Genomic DNA, 18,391 nt, shown 5'->3' with positions numbered 1-18,391 from the left:
TGTATTCTGCTGTCAAATTGAGAATTCTATAAATATAATTTAGGTCAAGTTTGTTAACAATATCGTTCAATATATCTGTTAATAAATTTATACCATTTTCCATTGTATAAATCCTTACTGATTGTCTGGCTATTTTTCTATCAATTATTGAGAGAAGGAATTGATATCTTAGGCTCTAACTAGTGAATTTACTTCTCACAGTTCTATCAGTTTTTGCTTCATGTAATTGTAAGCTCTGTTTTTAGGTGAATGAACATTTAGGGTTATTATGTCCTCCTGGTGAACTGATCCCTTTGTCATTATTAAATATCTTCCTTTAATCCTAGCAAAATATTAAGTATTCTGATTTCTTTGCTGTGAAATCTACTTTGTTGATAGTAATATAGCTACTCCAGCTTTCTTTTTTTTTTTTTTTTTTTTTTTTGAGACAGAGTCTCGCTCTGTGGCCCAGGCTGGAGTGCAGTGGCCTGATCTTGGCTGACTGCAAGCTCCGCCTCCTGGGTTCACGCTATTCTCCTGTCTCAGCCTCCCAAGTAGCTGGGACTACAGGTGCCTGCCACCATGCCCGGCTAATTTTTTATTTTATTTTTGTATTTTTAGTAGAGACAGGGTTTCGCTGTGTTAGCCAGGATGGTCTCCATCTCCTGACCTCGTGATCCGCCTGCCTCGGCCTCCCAAAGTGCTGGGATTACAGACGTGAGCCACCGCGCCTGGCCTCCAGCTTTCTTTTGTGTTTTCGTTCTTTACTTTTAATCTATTGTGTTTTTATATTAAAGTGCATTTCTTGAGAGCTTATTTAGAAGTTCTAGCAGGGGAGGAGCACAGCTACTCGTATACCCTTTACAGAAGAATGTGGTTCTCCTCTATCAAGGAAGGTCATCCTCTTCTACCAGAACACGTGCAGCTTCAAGAAGGTCACATATAGAGCAGTAAGGGAGGATGGGGACACCTGCTTAGTCAGCCAGATCAACCAAATCAACCCTGGTAATCAACAGAGTGACAGATGTCGCAGCCAGGTCTCCCTCACATCCTAAAGTACATTTCTTATAGGCAACATATAGTAAGGTGTTGCATTTTTATCCAAGATAAACATCTCTGCCTTTTAAATAGAATATTTAGACCAGAGTTTAGCCAACTACGGCCCACAGACTAAATTCAGCCATGCCCATTCATTTGTATATTGTCTATGGTTGCTTTTATATGTTACAATGACAGGGTTGAATGGTTGTGACAGAGACTGTATGTCATACAAAACCAAAAATATTAACTAACTGGTCCTTTATAGAAAAAGTTTGCTGATCTCTGGTTTAGATCATTTCCATTTAATGTGATTATTGATATAATTAGCTTTAAATCTACTATCTTGCTATGTTTTCCATTTGGCCCATCTCATCTTTTTTCTCTTTCCCTTATTTTCCTGTCTTCTTTAGGATTGCTATTTTAAAATTCAATTTTGTCTCCTTTATTGGCTTATTATCTATAATTTTAGGGTTTGGAGAATATGTCTTTAATTCAATACAGTCTACTTTCTAATGACATATCACTACATGTATTGTATAAGAATCTCACAGTAATATATTTCCACTTCTACCCTCTCAGCCATTGTGTTATTATTGTCATATATTTTGCTTCTATGTTATAAATATCATCAATTATATTTTTAAAAATTTAAATAATGAAAAAACACCCCATATCTTTACCCACAGTGTTACTATTTCTGGTTTTCTACATTCCTCTGTGTAGATCCATATTTCCATCTGGTATAGCTTTCCTTCTGACTAAAGGACTTCTTTTAACATTTTTTATAGCGTGGGTCTATTGGTAATACATTTTTTCAGTGCTTTCTGAAGAAGTCTTCATTTTACTCTCATATTTGAAAGATATTTTCACTTGGTATGAATTCTAGGTTGACAGCTTTCCTCATTGCCCCCCTAACTTTCTTCTAGTACTTTCAATCCTACTATCTTTTTGCTTGCATTGTTTCTGATTTTAAAAAAAATCTGCTGTCTCCTTTCCTCTCTATATAAGGTCTTTTAAAAAATCCAGTTGCTTTAAAATATTCTTTTTATTACTGTTTTGGACAACTGGATTATAATTTCCCTTGGTGAACTTGGGTTTGTTGTGCCTGAGGCTTATTGAGCTTCTTAAAACTGTGGGTGTTTAGTTTTCATTAAATTTGTAAAACTTTCCGTCATTATTTCTTCAATTTTTTTTGTTCCCTCTTCTGTCTCTTGTCCTTCAGGAATTTCAATTACACATATATTGGGCCTCTTGAATCTGTCTCATGGCTCACTGATGTTCTTTCTGAGGTTTTTTTTGTTTGTTTTTGTTTTGGAGTCTATTCTATCTTGTTTTATTTAAAAAGTTTTTCTATTGCTGTGTCTTCAAGTTCACTAAGCTTTTCTTCTGGAATGTCTAATCTGCCATCAATCCAATCCAGTGTACTTTTAATATCAGATAATCTAATTTTCATCTGTCAAAACTCAGTAACTGGTCTTTTTTATATCTTCCATTTCTCTGCTTAACATGGTCAATTTTTTCTTTAGCTTCTGGGTATATGGAATACAGTTATCATATTTGTTTTAATGTCTTTTCTGCTAATTCTCACTTCTGTGCCTTTCTGGGTCAGTTTTTATTTATTGATTTTTCTTTTCATTTTGAGCCCTATTTTCTTGTATATTTCCAAGGATGGCAATTTTTCACTGGATGCCAGACATTGTTAACTTACCTTGTTCGGTGCTAGATATTTTTGTATTCCTATGAATATTCTTGAGCTCTGTCCTAGGATGCAGTTCAGTTTCTTGAAATCAGCTTGATTATTTTAGGCCTTCCTTTTAAAATGTATTATGCAGAATCAAATCAGCATTTCATCTAGGGCTAAGTATTCTCAACTTGTGATGCAAGACCCTTTTGAGCACTCTACCTAGGGCCTTATAAATTACAGGTTTACCAGTCTGGCTGATGGAAATGCAAATTACTGGCCATGTGCAAGTATTCAATATTCTCTCTGGCTCTGTCTGTCGCTGGCTTTATGTCATTTTCCCACATGTACACATTGATCATAAACATATGCAAGGCGGACTTTTTGTAGATCGCCAGTGTTCTTCCCTGTGCAACTCTCTCCTGTGAACACTATCCATGAACTTTAGCCACCATGATCTCCCAGGACGCTGCAAGGTTTCCTCAACTCAAAGAATCTGACAAGTTCAAACTAGATTCCCACTCCCTGAACCATGACCTGAAATTTCTTTCAGGGCACTAAGTTATGGCAACCACAGGGCTCACCTTGTTTGACTTCTGTTTCCAGGAATCACTGTCTTTCATTGCCTGATGTCCAATATCTTGAAACAATTGTTTTCTATCGTTTCCTCACTGTTTTATTTGTTTTAGGTAGGAGGGTAAATTTGGTCCCCATTACTCCATCTTGGCCAAATGCAGAAATATGGAACTTTGTATTTAGATACATGGAGGTGGATTCTCAGCTTATTTCCTGCCTTTATAACTTTGGCAAATTACCTAACTTCTGTAAGTGTTTTTATTAATGTGCAAAATGGAAATAATAATGTCATAATAATGAAAATTACATTATTAATGGAGATCATTTTTGTTATCTAGATTAGTGGTTTATGAGATGATCTCCGCAGGCCACTCCTGATCTAAAATTTTCAGATTTTATTAATTCAATTTCTAAAACTGCATTTTTAAAAATATAAAAATTAAAGCATGTCCTCAATATTCCTTTTAGCCATGTTTATTATGCATAAATTAAAATTGATATTTTATAAATAACAACATCATCTGTGTCACATTTTGTACGTCAGAAATTATCTCTTTTAATTTTAATAATAGCATACTAAAACACGTTAGGAATTATTAGGTCATTTGGTTCTTTAATTTTGAAAACTAATTTGAGATTTTCTTTTTTGCCTCCCTTCAAAATTGAAATTGACTATTTCTTGAAGTAAACTTTTCTCACCTGCATTTTCACTCTCAATCTAGTTGCTTCAGCCAAGAAATAAGGTTTTGCTTGTTTGTTTAACTACTGGTTTCTCAAAAGCTCTATGTACTATTTTAAATGAGGTCATTAGTGAAATTCTAAAACGTTCTTAAGTGTGATGTCTTGATGATAATCTAAGAAAATATTTGCTTAGAATTTGCTTATTGCACTAAAAAGTGATAGTGATTAAATAATGCGATTTGATCATGTAAGCAGTGTGGCTATAGGATTTTTTAATTAAAAAACTTTAAATAGTAACAATATTGTACATTTAAAACCAATTTTAAAGGTTCAGCATCCACATTAATTTGCTTTCTTCAAGTAGTAATACTTGAAATAAATAAAAATCCATGACAATTAGTAAATACGTAGTTATTTTAAAATGTGCCATCCTTGTTGCATAGCAACTATTGATCTTATTGTGTGCTTTTTACATACTCTAAAATAATTAAGCACAGACACAAATTGCTATCTACTTTTTTGCATGTTAAAACCATTTAAGCTATGAAGTTTATTTTAAAATGTGTATTATATATTTGTAAAAAGAACATTTCATTCTTTGGCAAAGGCACAGTGACCCAAGAAGGAGATGAAAATGTCATATTAATGATTCTCCTTTCTCATGAGAAGACTTTTAGAGAACTTTTTATTCATAGTCTCAATAGCTAACACAGCCAAGGCATAATTATTAGTCCTTTGCTTTTCTGGTCTGGATCTTGATTTACTGCTAGCTAAATGATAACATTTATTAACAAGAAGTCGTGCCCTTTCAACGAAATGAAATGTCCATTTATACTATAGAAAATATATACATATATACATACCTCTGCAATATAATTAATTCATTAGAAAGATATCATGGTCCTAGCAAGAACTTATAGAATATTATATAGAATCATTTTTACCACCAAATTAACTTACTAGCATAAAGCAAGAACATAAATGCTTTCATATGTCAGATGCTAACACTAACTTGTTTTACTCTGTGTTAGCACCTCAAGGACAGGGTACAGTGAATAGAAGTACTAGAGGGGATCATAAACAGAGACCTTTTCTCCAGTGAAGTGTATCTGAAAACCCCTAGTGGGGTGTGAATATGGAGATGGGAAATTTCTACAAAAGCAAAAGCAGGAAAGTTTACTCCATCATACTAAGAGAAGGAGCTCAGGAGTTTGAGAAGAGGAATGACTCTCTGAATCGCTATCCACGTTAATTCCATTAGTAAAATTTCTGAATCAAAGGATGGGAAGTTTATAATATCTCTTGGTACATATTGACAAATTGCTTTCCAAAAATGTTACTTTAATTTCTAGTCCCTTAAAGAGTAGGTATGAGAGACGATCTCACTAGATCTTAACCACAGTGTTAAACTGTTCCATCAGTTGGATGGATAAACAATCTTTCATTGCTCTAATATGAATATTTTGGATTATACAAAATAGGGTTGATAATCTTCTTTTTCAATTTTTAAACATAGATTGGTAAGAATAAGGAAAGGGAATAAGTGCAGACCAGTCAGTTGAATACCCTGAGGCTAATAAAAATGAGAAAGAATGAAAGAAGCTGGGCCTTAGAGAAGGAAAAGAAAAGGCCTATACTACAAAATAAAACAAAATAAGAATGAGACACAAATAGCAACATTAGTCCATATTCTCCAATTTTGTTTTGGCCCATGTGGTACTGTTTTTACAGTGATCATTTTTATTATTTCGTGACTGTGTACCCTGATGGACAAGGGAAGGGGTACTTGTTTTTAGAGGGCTACTATTGGCTGAGTATGGCCAACTGTTTGAAGATTGGAAATGAAAGTGACAAATTTAAAATTGTTCTGAGGCAGCAAGAATACCTAAAGGGTTTCAGTATGCTGGATGGCAGAGTGAGGGATTCCTGGTAGAGATGTTAGTTTGAAGGAGGCCACTGCTTGTTGCTGAGGTTACAAGTTATGGGGTCAATCCCCAAGGAGAAGAATCTGATAAAACCCAAACAAGTTGTCAGGACTTCAGTCAAACAATCTGAATTTTGGCGACCAGCTCCATTTCTAGAGGAAAATTTAAGACATAATAAGAAAACTAAGGCAGAAGGCCAGTGCTAGGCATAGATACCAGTCACGTAAGAGAATGAGTTGGGAATGCTTTGGGTCAGTGTGTAGAATAGGGCCCAGAGATCAATCAAGGAGTACTGGAAGTTTATGGCAGAAAGATGACTGCTTTTAACTCAATGACTAGAGCTGTGGATGGTCTGAGAAGGTATGGACTAACAATTTTTAAAATATTACTTTTATTATTTAAAATTATGAAAGTAATACCTATTCATTGTTGAAACTTTGAAAACTATAAAAAAGTCCAAAGACCAAAACCAATGCAATTTTTTTTTGTTCTCTAACAGCAAACATTTCTCTGTAAATAATAGCAAGCTGAATGCTTATTCATTTTACTTTGTCAGGGTATATATGTCAAAAGTCCAAAACCAAATAATTCTAAAACATTTTCCATTCTTTTATCTTCTTATAGGAGAAGAAGAGAAGTTGTAAGAATTATTTCCCTGGTTTTAAGAATATGATCAAATGTAGATTGTGATAGTTGATGAGGAGATAAGAAAATATTTAAAAGCAAAAAAAATGCTTTTTCATGAGAACCAAGAGCTATCTTACAAGATTCCAAAATGTGTTATAATTTTTTATTTTCCATTATGTTGTCTAATATTTTGGAAAAGACACATTCCATAAGCATGTCTGGTCTAGGAAATTCCAGAAGGAATCTAAAGTGTGCATAGAAGCAAATAAATCTATCCGGAAGAGTCTTCTGACAAATGGTCAGAATTTTTAAAATGCAAATAGGTTGCATGCTGATGAAAGCCACACTACCATTACCTTCTCCTTCCAGTTATCATCACTCAGCAGCTTCTGTCTAAGGGTTTCTTGCAGCTGCTCGATGCTTTTCTGATGTGAAATCAGCATCAATTCCCTGAAAATCACAAACCCGACAAATGAGTCAATACTTACCCCTAACACAATTCCTAAGTTGTAGTTCCTGGGTCGGGAGATATTACTTCAAAACTTAGTCTGTTTATTTTCTTCAGCAGTATATATGCTGCTACTACATATCATTTTAACTATTAACAGCAATTTACAAGTGCTATGCAGCACTTGTATTATGGTATTTTTCCCAGGCTTAATTTTTGCTTAATAAGTAATAAGATATTATTTTGGCAATAAACATTAACTACATATGCAGAGTCACAAATACAATGAAATGTCTTCTGGCTGTTCATGTGTGCAAAAAATAAAATAAAATGTTATAAGTTGTGGTTCAAAAAGTATAAGACTAAATTCTAAAATAGCACCAGACAATATTTGGTTTCTTTAAAAAAGGAAAATATGTTGGGATATGCCATTAAGCCAATACATGTTAGCAGTTCCTGTGAAATTTTCTTTTCTTTTACTTATCTCAAATATTGATAGGAACAAACCAAATTAAGTAGAGAGATGTGTGATGTCGGGGATGCAATATAGCATAAAACATATTAGAAATTAGAAAACATAAAGATCACTTTATCATCTTAATCCACATAAGCAGATCTTAATGCTTAGCTTGTGATCCTCTGGATGGAAGTAAGGACAGGAGGAAATTAAAGAGAGAATTTCACAGGGGCACTGAAATTAAGATAAAAAATCAACAGTAGCAGCAAAAGTATGCTTATTGATCAGGGATCCTTCCTCCTTGCATGATCACTATGACTCTTCTCATGTTCTATGTATGTGATTCTTCTCTATTGCTCATTCATTCTTCTAATCCTTTTGTTTTTCATCATCACTCTCTTCCTTTTAGCTCTGACCCTTCTGCAAAAACCTGTGACTTTGATTTATAATTGCATGTTCAACATCTCCACCCTAATGATCCATCAACACCAAAAATTTTATACATCAAAAACCAAAATAAACATCATCTCCTATGATCTTTCCTTTCTTCCTGACTTCTGAAAACCTTCAAGGGTCATTTCTGAAGGTTTGAATCATCTCTGACATTTTCTTCTCTCTCTTTTACTACAACCATGCAGTAGTGAGTTCTATATAGTCTACTTCTTTGGGATACCTCAAACTGTTTCCTCATTTCCTAATACCAAGACCCAAGATAGGCAGAAGAAAGTAAAAAATATCAGAGTTGTAATCAATGGAAAACAAAAAAAAATAGACAATATCAGTGAAACAAAAATTTGTTTCTTTGAGATCAATAAAATTAATAAACCTCAAGGTAGACTAATTAGGAATAAAAAAGAGAAGTCAGAAATTACTAATATCAGAAATAAGAGGGATGATACTACTACAGATCCCTCAGATATTAAGATGATAATACAGAAATATTATGAGCAGCTTTATAATAAATATTATGAACAGTTTTATGTCATTAATTTTGACAACTCTGATGAAATGGACAAAATTTTTAAACAAACTACCAAAGCTCACTAAAGAAGAAATAGATAACATGAATAGTTGATAATTATGGTAAGTTTAATTTACTATGAATATTCTAAACTTACAAGTGCCTATTAAAATAGCCTCAAAATATATAAAGCAAAACTTGATATAAGTGTACAAAGAAATTCTTAAATCCACACCTTAGTGGTAGAATCTACCATAGATTTCTCAGTTATAGACAAATCAGCCCAGGACCACCACATATGTCAATGGAAGTATAAACTGCACAACTCCAGACTGTTATGGTGAATGTCTTTGTTATAGTTGTGTAATGTAGCAATCCAGGGTCAAGCAAAGAAATAGTTAATTAAAGATAAAGGAGATTTAAGGTTCATAAGATAGATTTAGGTTCACATCTAGAACCTTGTACACAATTAGTGGAAAAATACATCATTATTTTCCAGCTCATATGGAATTGACCACTTCTAGGACAAAAAGTAAGTTTTAGCTAATTTCAAACAATTGTTATACTATAACCTGCATTGTTCAATATGGTAGCCACTAGCTTCATGTAACTATTGAGCAGTTAAAATGTGGCCAGTTCAAGTTAAGATGTGCTATAAATGTAGAATACATACCAATTTGAAAATCTAGTACAAAATATCTAAAATACCTGTGATAACATTTTAAGACAATTACATATTTAAATAATGTTTTGGATAGTTTGAGTTAAATAAATTATTAAAATTGATTTTACTTATTTTTATTCTTTAATGTGGCAACTAAGCATTTTAAAATTACATACGTAGAAGTATAACATAATACTTCTATAGAATAGCACTGTAATAATGTATATTCCATGAAAACAAAGAAATGTCAGTAACAAAAGATAAATAGCTTCAAGTATTTTTAACATTTATTAAATGTATTTTTGAATAGCTCATGAGTCAAATAAAAATCACAATTGGTATTTGAAAATACTTCGAACTGAACAATAATGAAATTATTAATTGCTATCAAAATGAATGGAATAAGGCTAGAGCAGAACAGATAAATTGTGGTATACCTTAGCATACAATATAGATGAAGAAATGAATAATCCTCAGCTACATAAAACTTTATAAACAAATCTCAGGAACATAATATTGAGCACAAAGAACAAATTAGAATGATACATATGGAATGATTTTATTTATGTGAAGATAAAATACATGCAAAATCTAACATTTTTTAGGAATACAAACATGCTTGGTAAAATTATAGAGAGAAACACGGACACAATAGAAGTTATCTGTAGGTTTTTGTAGATGTTCTTTATCAGTTTTAGGAAGTTTTCTTCTATTCCTCATTTGTTGAGAACCACAAAACGCAGGCTGGTGGTTTTCTCTGAGGAAGGAGAGAAGGAGATGGAATTGGGAAGAAGCAAAAGAAAACTTCAAAGATAATGGTAAGGTTCTTTTTCCTAAACTGAGTGGTTGATACACAGAAGTTCACTGTATTGTAGCTCTTTATATTTGATACATATACAAACCTTCAATGTATCTACTCAAAATTTATTTTAAAAAAACAATTATTGATACAGCCAGAGGACAGAGTAGAATGTGTATGTGGAAGAAAGAGAATTGAAGGTAAAAACCGAGGTGAAGCAATGTGCAGGTGAGTTGTAGGTCACTCTCCTGTGTGATGGGGTTTACTGTCCTCTCTGAACAAGGCAGTGTCATCCAGCCCTGGAGATATAGAGGTGAACTAGGAAGGGAGAGTCACTGTTCAAATTGTGCTCAAAATCCAGCAAATGTGAAAGGGAGATCTATTAACGTGTGAGGCAGACCCAGCAGGCTTGATGCTTGCACATTAGTCTTTAGGCTGGAAAAATGGAAGTGAAGAGAAAGGAATAAAGAATGAGGAGAGCAAAAGTGAGATTACATCAAAAATTTTACTCAGGGCTTTCTTCCAAATATCTGGCCATTCCTGTCTCCTTTGCAGAGTCATCTTCCTCTAATGCGATCTAGCTGCTGACAACTCTTAAATTTTATCTCCAGTTCAGATCTGTTCCTGAGTATCTGATTCATGTATCCAACTCTCCACCTGACTGTTTTACTTTATTTTAGAAACATCTTAAGTTTAACATGTATATGCTCTCAGCGGCTTACAATATCAAAGTTTATTTTTCTTGGATTATGTGTTATCTGCTTCCTTGCTCCACATTTTGTACCAGGATACAAGAGAGCCCAGGGAGCAGCTCTTACTTGAGAATGCTGTTATTGTGGCAAGAAACAAAACAAAACAAGCCAAAACATAGAATCTCTTAAAGTTTCTGCTTAGAATTGGTATATATCACTTCTCTCACATTTCAATGGCAGAACAAATCAATTGACCAAGTCTCATAGCAATCAGGTGTGGATAGCACAGTCCTCTCACTGGGAGGTGCACTGTAAGTCACCTGACTGGCACCAGTGGATTCCATCACAACTCTGAAATCCCACGGGAAGCCTACGCTAAAGGAGGGGAACATTTCTTGCTTGGACTGTGATTCTTTTTACTTCCAGTAACTGCTAAGTTCAATTTTTGCCGCAGCTCCTAGCTTTCCTCTCTGAAATGTGCCTCTTTTTCATTATCTGGGTTGGCCACATCTGAAGAGCTATTAGGTTTTGCCCTTGGGACACCAACAGCTTTCTCAACTTCCTTATGGTCTGTAGATGGTGGGTGGTTAAGGGGGTTGCCTCTTTGTTTGTTTATTTATTTATTTATTATTATTATTTTTGAGACAGAGTCTCGCTCTGTGGCCCAGGCTGGAGTGCAATGGCGGATCTCGGCTCACTGCAAGCTCCGCCTCCCGGGTTCACGCCATTCTCCTGCCTCAGCCTCCCGAGTAGCTGGGACTACAGGCGCCCGCCACCACGCCCGGCTATTTTTTTTGTATTTTTTTAGTAGAGACGGGGTTTCGTCGTGTTAGCCAGGATGGTCTCGCTCCTGACCTTATGATCCGCCCACCTCGGCCTCCCAAAGTGCTGGGATTACAGGCGTGAGCCGCCGTGCCCATCCGCCTCTTTGTAATCCATCACTCCTGCCCCTCTCCTCCAGGCAATCAATACTTTGGTTTCTGTCACTATAGATTCGTCTGCATTTTGGGGATATGTAGATATATTCTGAAATACTGTATATTCTGAAAATACACTATATGATTCTGAAGTCATACAGTATATTCTTTTTTTGGTCTGGCATCTTTTACTCAGCATAATTATTTTAGATTCATCCAGGTTGTACCTTATTGATAGTTCATTCATTTTATTGCTGAGTAGTAGTCCATTGTACAGATACACTACAATCTGTTCATCCATTCATCTGTTGGTTAACATTTAGGTTGTTGTATATATTTTGGCTATTAGAAATTAAGCTGCTCTCAATACCTGTGTACAAGTTTTTGTATTGATATATGGTTTCATTTGTCTTGGGTAAATACATAGGCATGAAATGGCTGGGTAACAAGGTAGGTATATATTTAACTTTTAAAGAAACGTCCAAACTGTTTTTCTAATAAGTTGTACTATTTGACATGCCTACCAGTAGATTATAAGAGTTCAAGTTCCTCCATATCTTTGTAAACACTTCATACTTTCAGGTTTTAAGTTTTTACATGTTCTAAAAATGTATAGTAGTGGCCGGGCGCGGTGGCTCACGCCTGTAATCCCAGCACTTTGGGAGGCCGAGGCGGGTGGATCATGAGGTCAGGAGATCGAGACCATCCTGGCTAACAAGGTGAAACCCCGTCTCTACTAAAAATACAAAAAATTAGCCGGGCGCGGTGGCGGGCGCCTGTAGTCCCAGCTACTCGGGAGGCTGAGGCAGGAGAATGGCGTGAACCCGGGAAGCGGAGCTTGCAGTAAGCCGAGATTGCGCCACTGCAGTCCGCAGTCCGGCCTGGGCGACAGAGCGAGACTCCGTCTCAAAAAAAAAAAAAAAAATGTATAGTAGTATCTTATTGTGGTTTTAGTTTGCATTTCCCTAATGAGTAATGATATTGAGCATCACTTTATGTGCTTATTTTATTGGTCATTTGTATATATTTGGTGTTGTCTATTCAAGTCTTTTGTTCATTTTTTATTAGGATGTTTATGTTCATGTAACTGAGTTTCTAAATATCATTGTATATTATAGAAAAACTCCTTTATTATATAGATCCTTTGCAAATATATTATTCCAGTCTGTGGTTTTTATTTTCATTCTCTTAAAGTGTCTTTTGAAGAACACGTTAATTTTGATAAAGTTGAATTTATCTCTTTTATCTGTTGAATGTCATTGATTTTTATGTTAAACTAATCCTATATTCTTATGATAAACTCCACTTATTCATGATTTATTTCCTTTTATATGTTATCTTGATTTTAGCCCCTTCAATTTGCTAAAATTTTGTTTAGAATTTTTGTATCAATGCTCATTAGGAATGTTGGTCTGTTAATTTTCTTGTTATGTCTTTGTCAGGTTTTGTTATCAGAATAATACTGGCTTCATAAATTAAGATGGGAACTGTTCTTTCTTATTCAATTTTCAGGAAGAGTTTGAGTATAAATAGTATTATCTTTTCCTTAAATGCTTGGTAAAATTCACCAGTAAAACCTCTGGGCTGGAAGTTTTCTTTGTGAGAAGATTTTAAATTACAAATTCAATTTCTTTAAAAGATACAGAACTATTCATGTTATCCATTTCTTCTTTAGTGAGCTTTGGTAGTTTGTTTAAAAAATTTTGTCCATCTCATCAGAGTTGTCAAAATTAATGACATAAAGTTGTTCATAATATTTATTATAAAGCTGTTCATGATATTTCTGTATTATCATCTTAATATCTGAGGGATCTGTAGTAGTATCATCCCTCTTATTTCTGATATTAGTAATTTCTGACTTCTCTTTTTTATTCCTGATTAGTCTACCTTGAGGTTTATTAATTTTATTGATCTCAAAGAAACAAATTTTTGTTTCACTGATATTGTCTATTGTTTTTCTGTTTTCCATTGATTACAACTCTGATATTTTTTACTTTCTTCTGCCTATCTTGGGAATTTTTTCCTCGTCTGTTTTTCTAATTGCCTAAAGTGGAAGCTGAAACCTTTTTTTCTTTTTTCACATAGACATTTGTCCCTAAGTTTTTCTTTGGTGACATCTCATAAATTTTGATGTTTTCATTTTCATTTAGTTCAAAATACTTTCTAATTTCCCTTTTGATATTTTATTTGACCACTGTCTTATTTAGAATTGTTATATAATTTACAAATATTTAGGGGACTGTCAAGATAATTTTCTGTATTTGATTTCCACGTTAATTACACTGTGACCAGAGAACATACAGTACACTGTATTATTTAAATCCTTTAAAATTTCTTTGGTTTTATTTCATGTCCCAATCATACAGTCTGTCTCAGTGAGTAATCTGTATAACCACGGCGGGAAAATGTGTATTCTGCTGTTGTTGGGTGAAATGTTGTATAAATGTCAATTATGTTAATTGATTACAAAGTTCAAGTCTTCTATAGCCTACTGATTGTCCTATTACTTGTTTTATCAGCTATTAAGAGGGGGTATTGACATCTTTAACAATAATTGTGAATTTGCCTACTTCTTGGAATTCCATCCAGTTTTTGCTTCCTGTATTTTTAAGGTCTGTTATTAGATGTGCAAATATTTAGAAGTGTTATGTCCTCCTGATGAGTTGACCTACTTATCATTATAAAATGAACTTCTTTACTTCTGGTAATATTTTTTTTGTTCCAAAATCTACTTTGTAAAGCCATTACAGCTTTCTGATTAGGGTCAGTGTGTTATGTCTTTTCCCATTCTTTTATTTTTGACCTCATATGTCTTTATATTTAAAATATGTTTCCTGCAGGCAGCATATATCTAAATCTTACTTTCTTATACAATCTGACAATCTCTGCATTTTAATTAGAATGTTTAGACAATTTACATTTAATTTAATCATTGATATAGTTAGGCTTAAATCTACCATTTTGCCATTTCTTTCCTATTTTTCCCATCTGTTTTTTCTTCCCTTTCCCTTCTTTCTGTTTTCTTTTGGATTTTGCATGTTTTATGATTCAATTTTATCTCTTTTGTTGGCTTATTAGCTATAACTCTTTGTTTAGTTTTATTTTAGTGGTTGCTACAGGGTTGATAATAGACATTTTTAGCTTATCACAGTTTGATAGGCTGAATAATTGCCTCCAAAGATGTCCATATCTGAATCTGTGAGTATGTTTCCTTATATGGGAAAAGGGACTTTGTAGATGTGATAAAGTTAAGGATCTTGAGGTGAGGAGATTATTTTGAATTATCTGGATGGGGCAGAGGGTTAGTGTGGGGGAAGGTTATATGACAATGAAAGCAGAGATTGGATTCATGTGGCCAGGAGCTAAGGAATGCTGACAACTTGTAACAGATGGAAGATGTAAGGAATGTCTTCTCTGGATCCTGCAGAGGGAACCAGCCCTGCTGACACCTTGATTTTACCCCCTTAAGATTCATTTGAACTTCTGACCTCCAGAACTGTAAGACAATAAATCTGTGTTATTTTAAGCCACTAAATTTGTGGTCATTTGTTACAGCAGCAATAGGAAACTAATACAATGGTCTTCCTATAAGTGGTATTGTACAGCTTCAGCAATAATATGAGAATATCATGATAGTAACTTGATCAAGCTAAGGAGCAGCTGTCAATGGAAATAAAGTAGCACTTCACCTGGTTTTCAAAATGCCAGGATTACAGAATAAATGTGTCTAGTCATGTGCTTGTTAGAAGTATCCAGAGAGCCTAACAATTTGATCTGCTTAATTTCTTAAATTAGGTTTCCTGTTGGAAAAGAAGTCTTATTGATTAGAAAATCCAAATGAGCATCTCCTGATAGTGCCTGTGAATACATTAGAAGCTACCTTTACTATAAAGTAGATGGTACTGAATATTTGAGATGCTTGAATTTCAGTCTCCCTGGATATAGTTATAATTTTGATACCATAAAAAGTAGAATCCATTCCAAATGCATTCCTCTGATGGACTCAGTACATGGAACTCATGTTAAATGTAACCTTTTGGAAGAAAAACTTAAAAAGTCTAGTAGATTATAGCAGCTAAAATATAGTAAGCTAGGATGCAAACAATGTTAATGAAGTGATAATTATTCACTGAATTTTCAAGGAATTATGAAGTTCTTTATGACATTTCTAACAAAGTATATGGTGTTTTGAGTAAATTGTTATAAAAATATAAATTTGTATCTGTGATGGTAATTTTGCTTGATATTATGGTTACAGAAATGAGAAGGACTTTTATACCGCTTTGATTCCCTGCTGAGCCTCCATTCCTGACTCTAAGAAATCTTCAGTGAGACTCTTTAATGGGATAAAGCAGAAAGAATAATTATACGTGATGTTATATGCACTCATTGTTCTTGATTAGAATGGAATGGGCAGTGAGTAACGTATACAGGAATGATTATATGTGTGAAAAAGATAATCTAGATTCCAAAAATAAAAATCACACTTGTACAGTACAACCATGGGGCTGCTCACACATTGTTCAAGATCATAAAACAATCTTAGGCCATTGATAAAGAGAAAACAATCTTGTGTTGAAAAAAACTATGAAGAACCAACTCTGACTCACGTAGGACTTTTTGCTAGAAATTTAGAGGAATTGTAAGAAATAAAATATTTATTGTAAAGGCATAGTACATATTTTTCCATGTTATAAGTAGCTGAAAATGTATAGCTATTTAGGTATCTGACTTCTTTTTCTAGAACCAGTTCAAGAGATGTTGATGTTTTAGAATTATAGGAAACGACACAGATTTAGATTCTAAATTTAAATTTTACTAAGAATCTAATAAAGAAGATTACCATTAGAATCCAGGAGTTCTCATTGTACTCCTAGGTCTGATTTTTGAAAGTCAAAAGCTCTCTGGCCTGAAAGAAAAACTGGAGCTTCCCAGTTTTAAATTCCATGATCAGTTGTTTGATAGAAATTAAATTCATTCCCATCCATGCATGCATCCATCCCTACAGCAAATATTGAGAGCTGACTATGTGTCTGGCACTGTTTTATTCTCTGGGGATATAGTGGTTCTTTCTTTTCATTCCTTAGAAATATGTTAATACAACTCCCTCCGTTTTAGAAGAAATGAAGACCTGAGTGATAAATGACTATCTGAGGTGACATGATTCACAAGTGACAAAGCTAACTCAAGCTTATGCCAGCCAGCAGTATGTCATGCTGTCTTTGCTTTGCATATCTCAGATGGAGGTGTGGCTATTGACATTCTACCCTGCAATTTCACCAGATAGGTTTAAAATTAAAATTTTTGGAGTTGCCACAATTAGGACTTATTCACAATTAAGAGTATTTATTTTAAAAACTTTATTAAATTATTGGACCAAAAGGAAAATGAGAATCTTATTTCTTATGTACATGCGAATCCAGATTCCCTTAATTGCAGTTAAAAACATAACTGCAAACAAATGTCAAACCATAATGCCAAAATGACAGTTTTAAATTCTGTTTCACAAGTTGTTCTCTTAGAGATGTCTTCACATTGTCAATCAAAGAGATAATTTTGATTTTGCCACAACTCCTGCCTCTGTTAAAAGAAGTGAGTGTGTGATAACATAAGAAGCTTGGCAAGCCTCTTGTTCTGAGAGCTGTTGATGGATAGGAAATCAGAGAAAGAGGTGAGTCTTGGAGAAAAAACCTGATAAAATTTATTGTTTTCAATTATTACTTAGAACATTTCATAATGCTTTAAACTAACAGATTAGCATCTGTAATAGTATGTTTTAACACTGCTATAAAGACATACCTGAGACGGGGTAATTTACGAAGGAAAGAGGTTTAATTGACTCAAAGTTCAGCATGGCTAGGGGAGGCCTCAGGAAACTTATGGCAAATCATGGCAGAAGATGAAGAGGAAGCAAGGCACATTCTTTACAATGTAGCAGGAAGGAGATGTGCCAAGAAAAGGGGGGAAGAGCCCCTTATAAAACTGTTAGATGTCTTGAGAACTCACTCACTATTACAAGAACAGCATTGGGGAAACTGCCCCCACGATTCAATTACCTCCACCTATTCTCTCCCTTGACACCTGGAGATTATGGGAATTACAATTCAAGATGAGATTTGGGTGGGGACACAAAGCCTAACCATATCAGCATCCAAATGGAATCACTCCAAGGATTAATCTTTACAACTGTATGAGTAAAGCAGATAATAATGAATTCAACAGATATTTACTGAATATCTTACATGGCCGGTGCAGGGAATAAAAATTAATAAGACATGGTGCTTTAAGATGTTAGCAATCTAAAGAAAGATGAAAGAGAGGAAACTAATACTTTCTGAGTACCTACAACCTACCAGGCACAATATTTTAAAATTCTTAAGAAGATAGCTATTATTAAAATGCCCACGTTACAGATAGGGAAAAGAAGCCTTAATTGCCCAAGCTTAACAGTGGTCAAGTTGGGATTTACTCTATGTTTACCTAATTCTAAAGTCCATTCTTTTTAAACTAAGAATGGACTTTATCTTGCATCACTTCTTAATCCTTTTTCTTATCTAATACTAGATATAGCTAATCACTAGTCATTGCTTCTAGAATTTATGAAAATATAACAAGCCTCAATGAAATAAGTAAACAGTTTACATTTTTAGAATGCAGTTGTGAATTATTTTTATTCTATTTTCCATCTGAAGATATAGCTTTACTTCTTATTCTACCAAGGCACTAGAAAGCAGAGGACACCATCTCATATTTATTGAGTGAAGAGAAGAATACTGAGGGGGTTGGGGGTGAACAAGAAATTGAGAGGAGAGGAGAAGGGACACAAAAAGAGCGTTGCTTTCTGCAGGGCTGTGAGTCTCCTAAAGACTCAGTGTTACAACATGGTTCAGAAAGATGTCACACTGAGAAAGGATGACAAAACTTAGCCCTTCAAGACAAATAC

General features: G+C 34.2%; 1 protein-coding gene and 1 pseudogene across 1 annotated transcript in view; both read right to left on the bottom strand.

The window, feature by feature from the left end:
* LEKR1 (leucine, glutamate and lysine rich 1) overlaps window positions 1-18,391 on the bottom strand; it is a 219,777-nt gene that overhangs the window by 27,757 nt on the left and 173,629 nt on the right. The window contains exon 10 of the mRNA NM_001004316.3: window positions 6,867-6,960. Coding sequence (NP_001004316.2) covers window positions 6,867-6,960 — 94 coding nt within the window. The remainder of the gene's footprint in view (window positions 1-6,866; window positions 6,961-18,391) is intronic.
* On the bottom strand, window positions 677-1,031 carry RN7SKP177 (RN7SK pseudogene 177; annotated as a pseudogene).

The sequence above is a fragment of the Homo sapiens genome, chromosome 3 (genome assembly GCF_000001405.40).
Source record: "Homo sapiens chromosome 3, GRCh38.p14 Primary Assembly".
NCBI lineage: Eukaryota > Metazoa > Chordata > Mammalia > Primates > Hominidae > Homo > Homo sapiens.
This window is presented reverse-complemented; position numbering and strand designations above follow the sequence as displayed.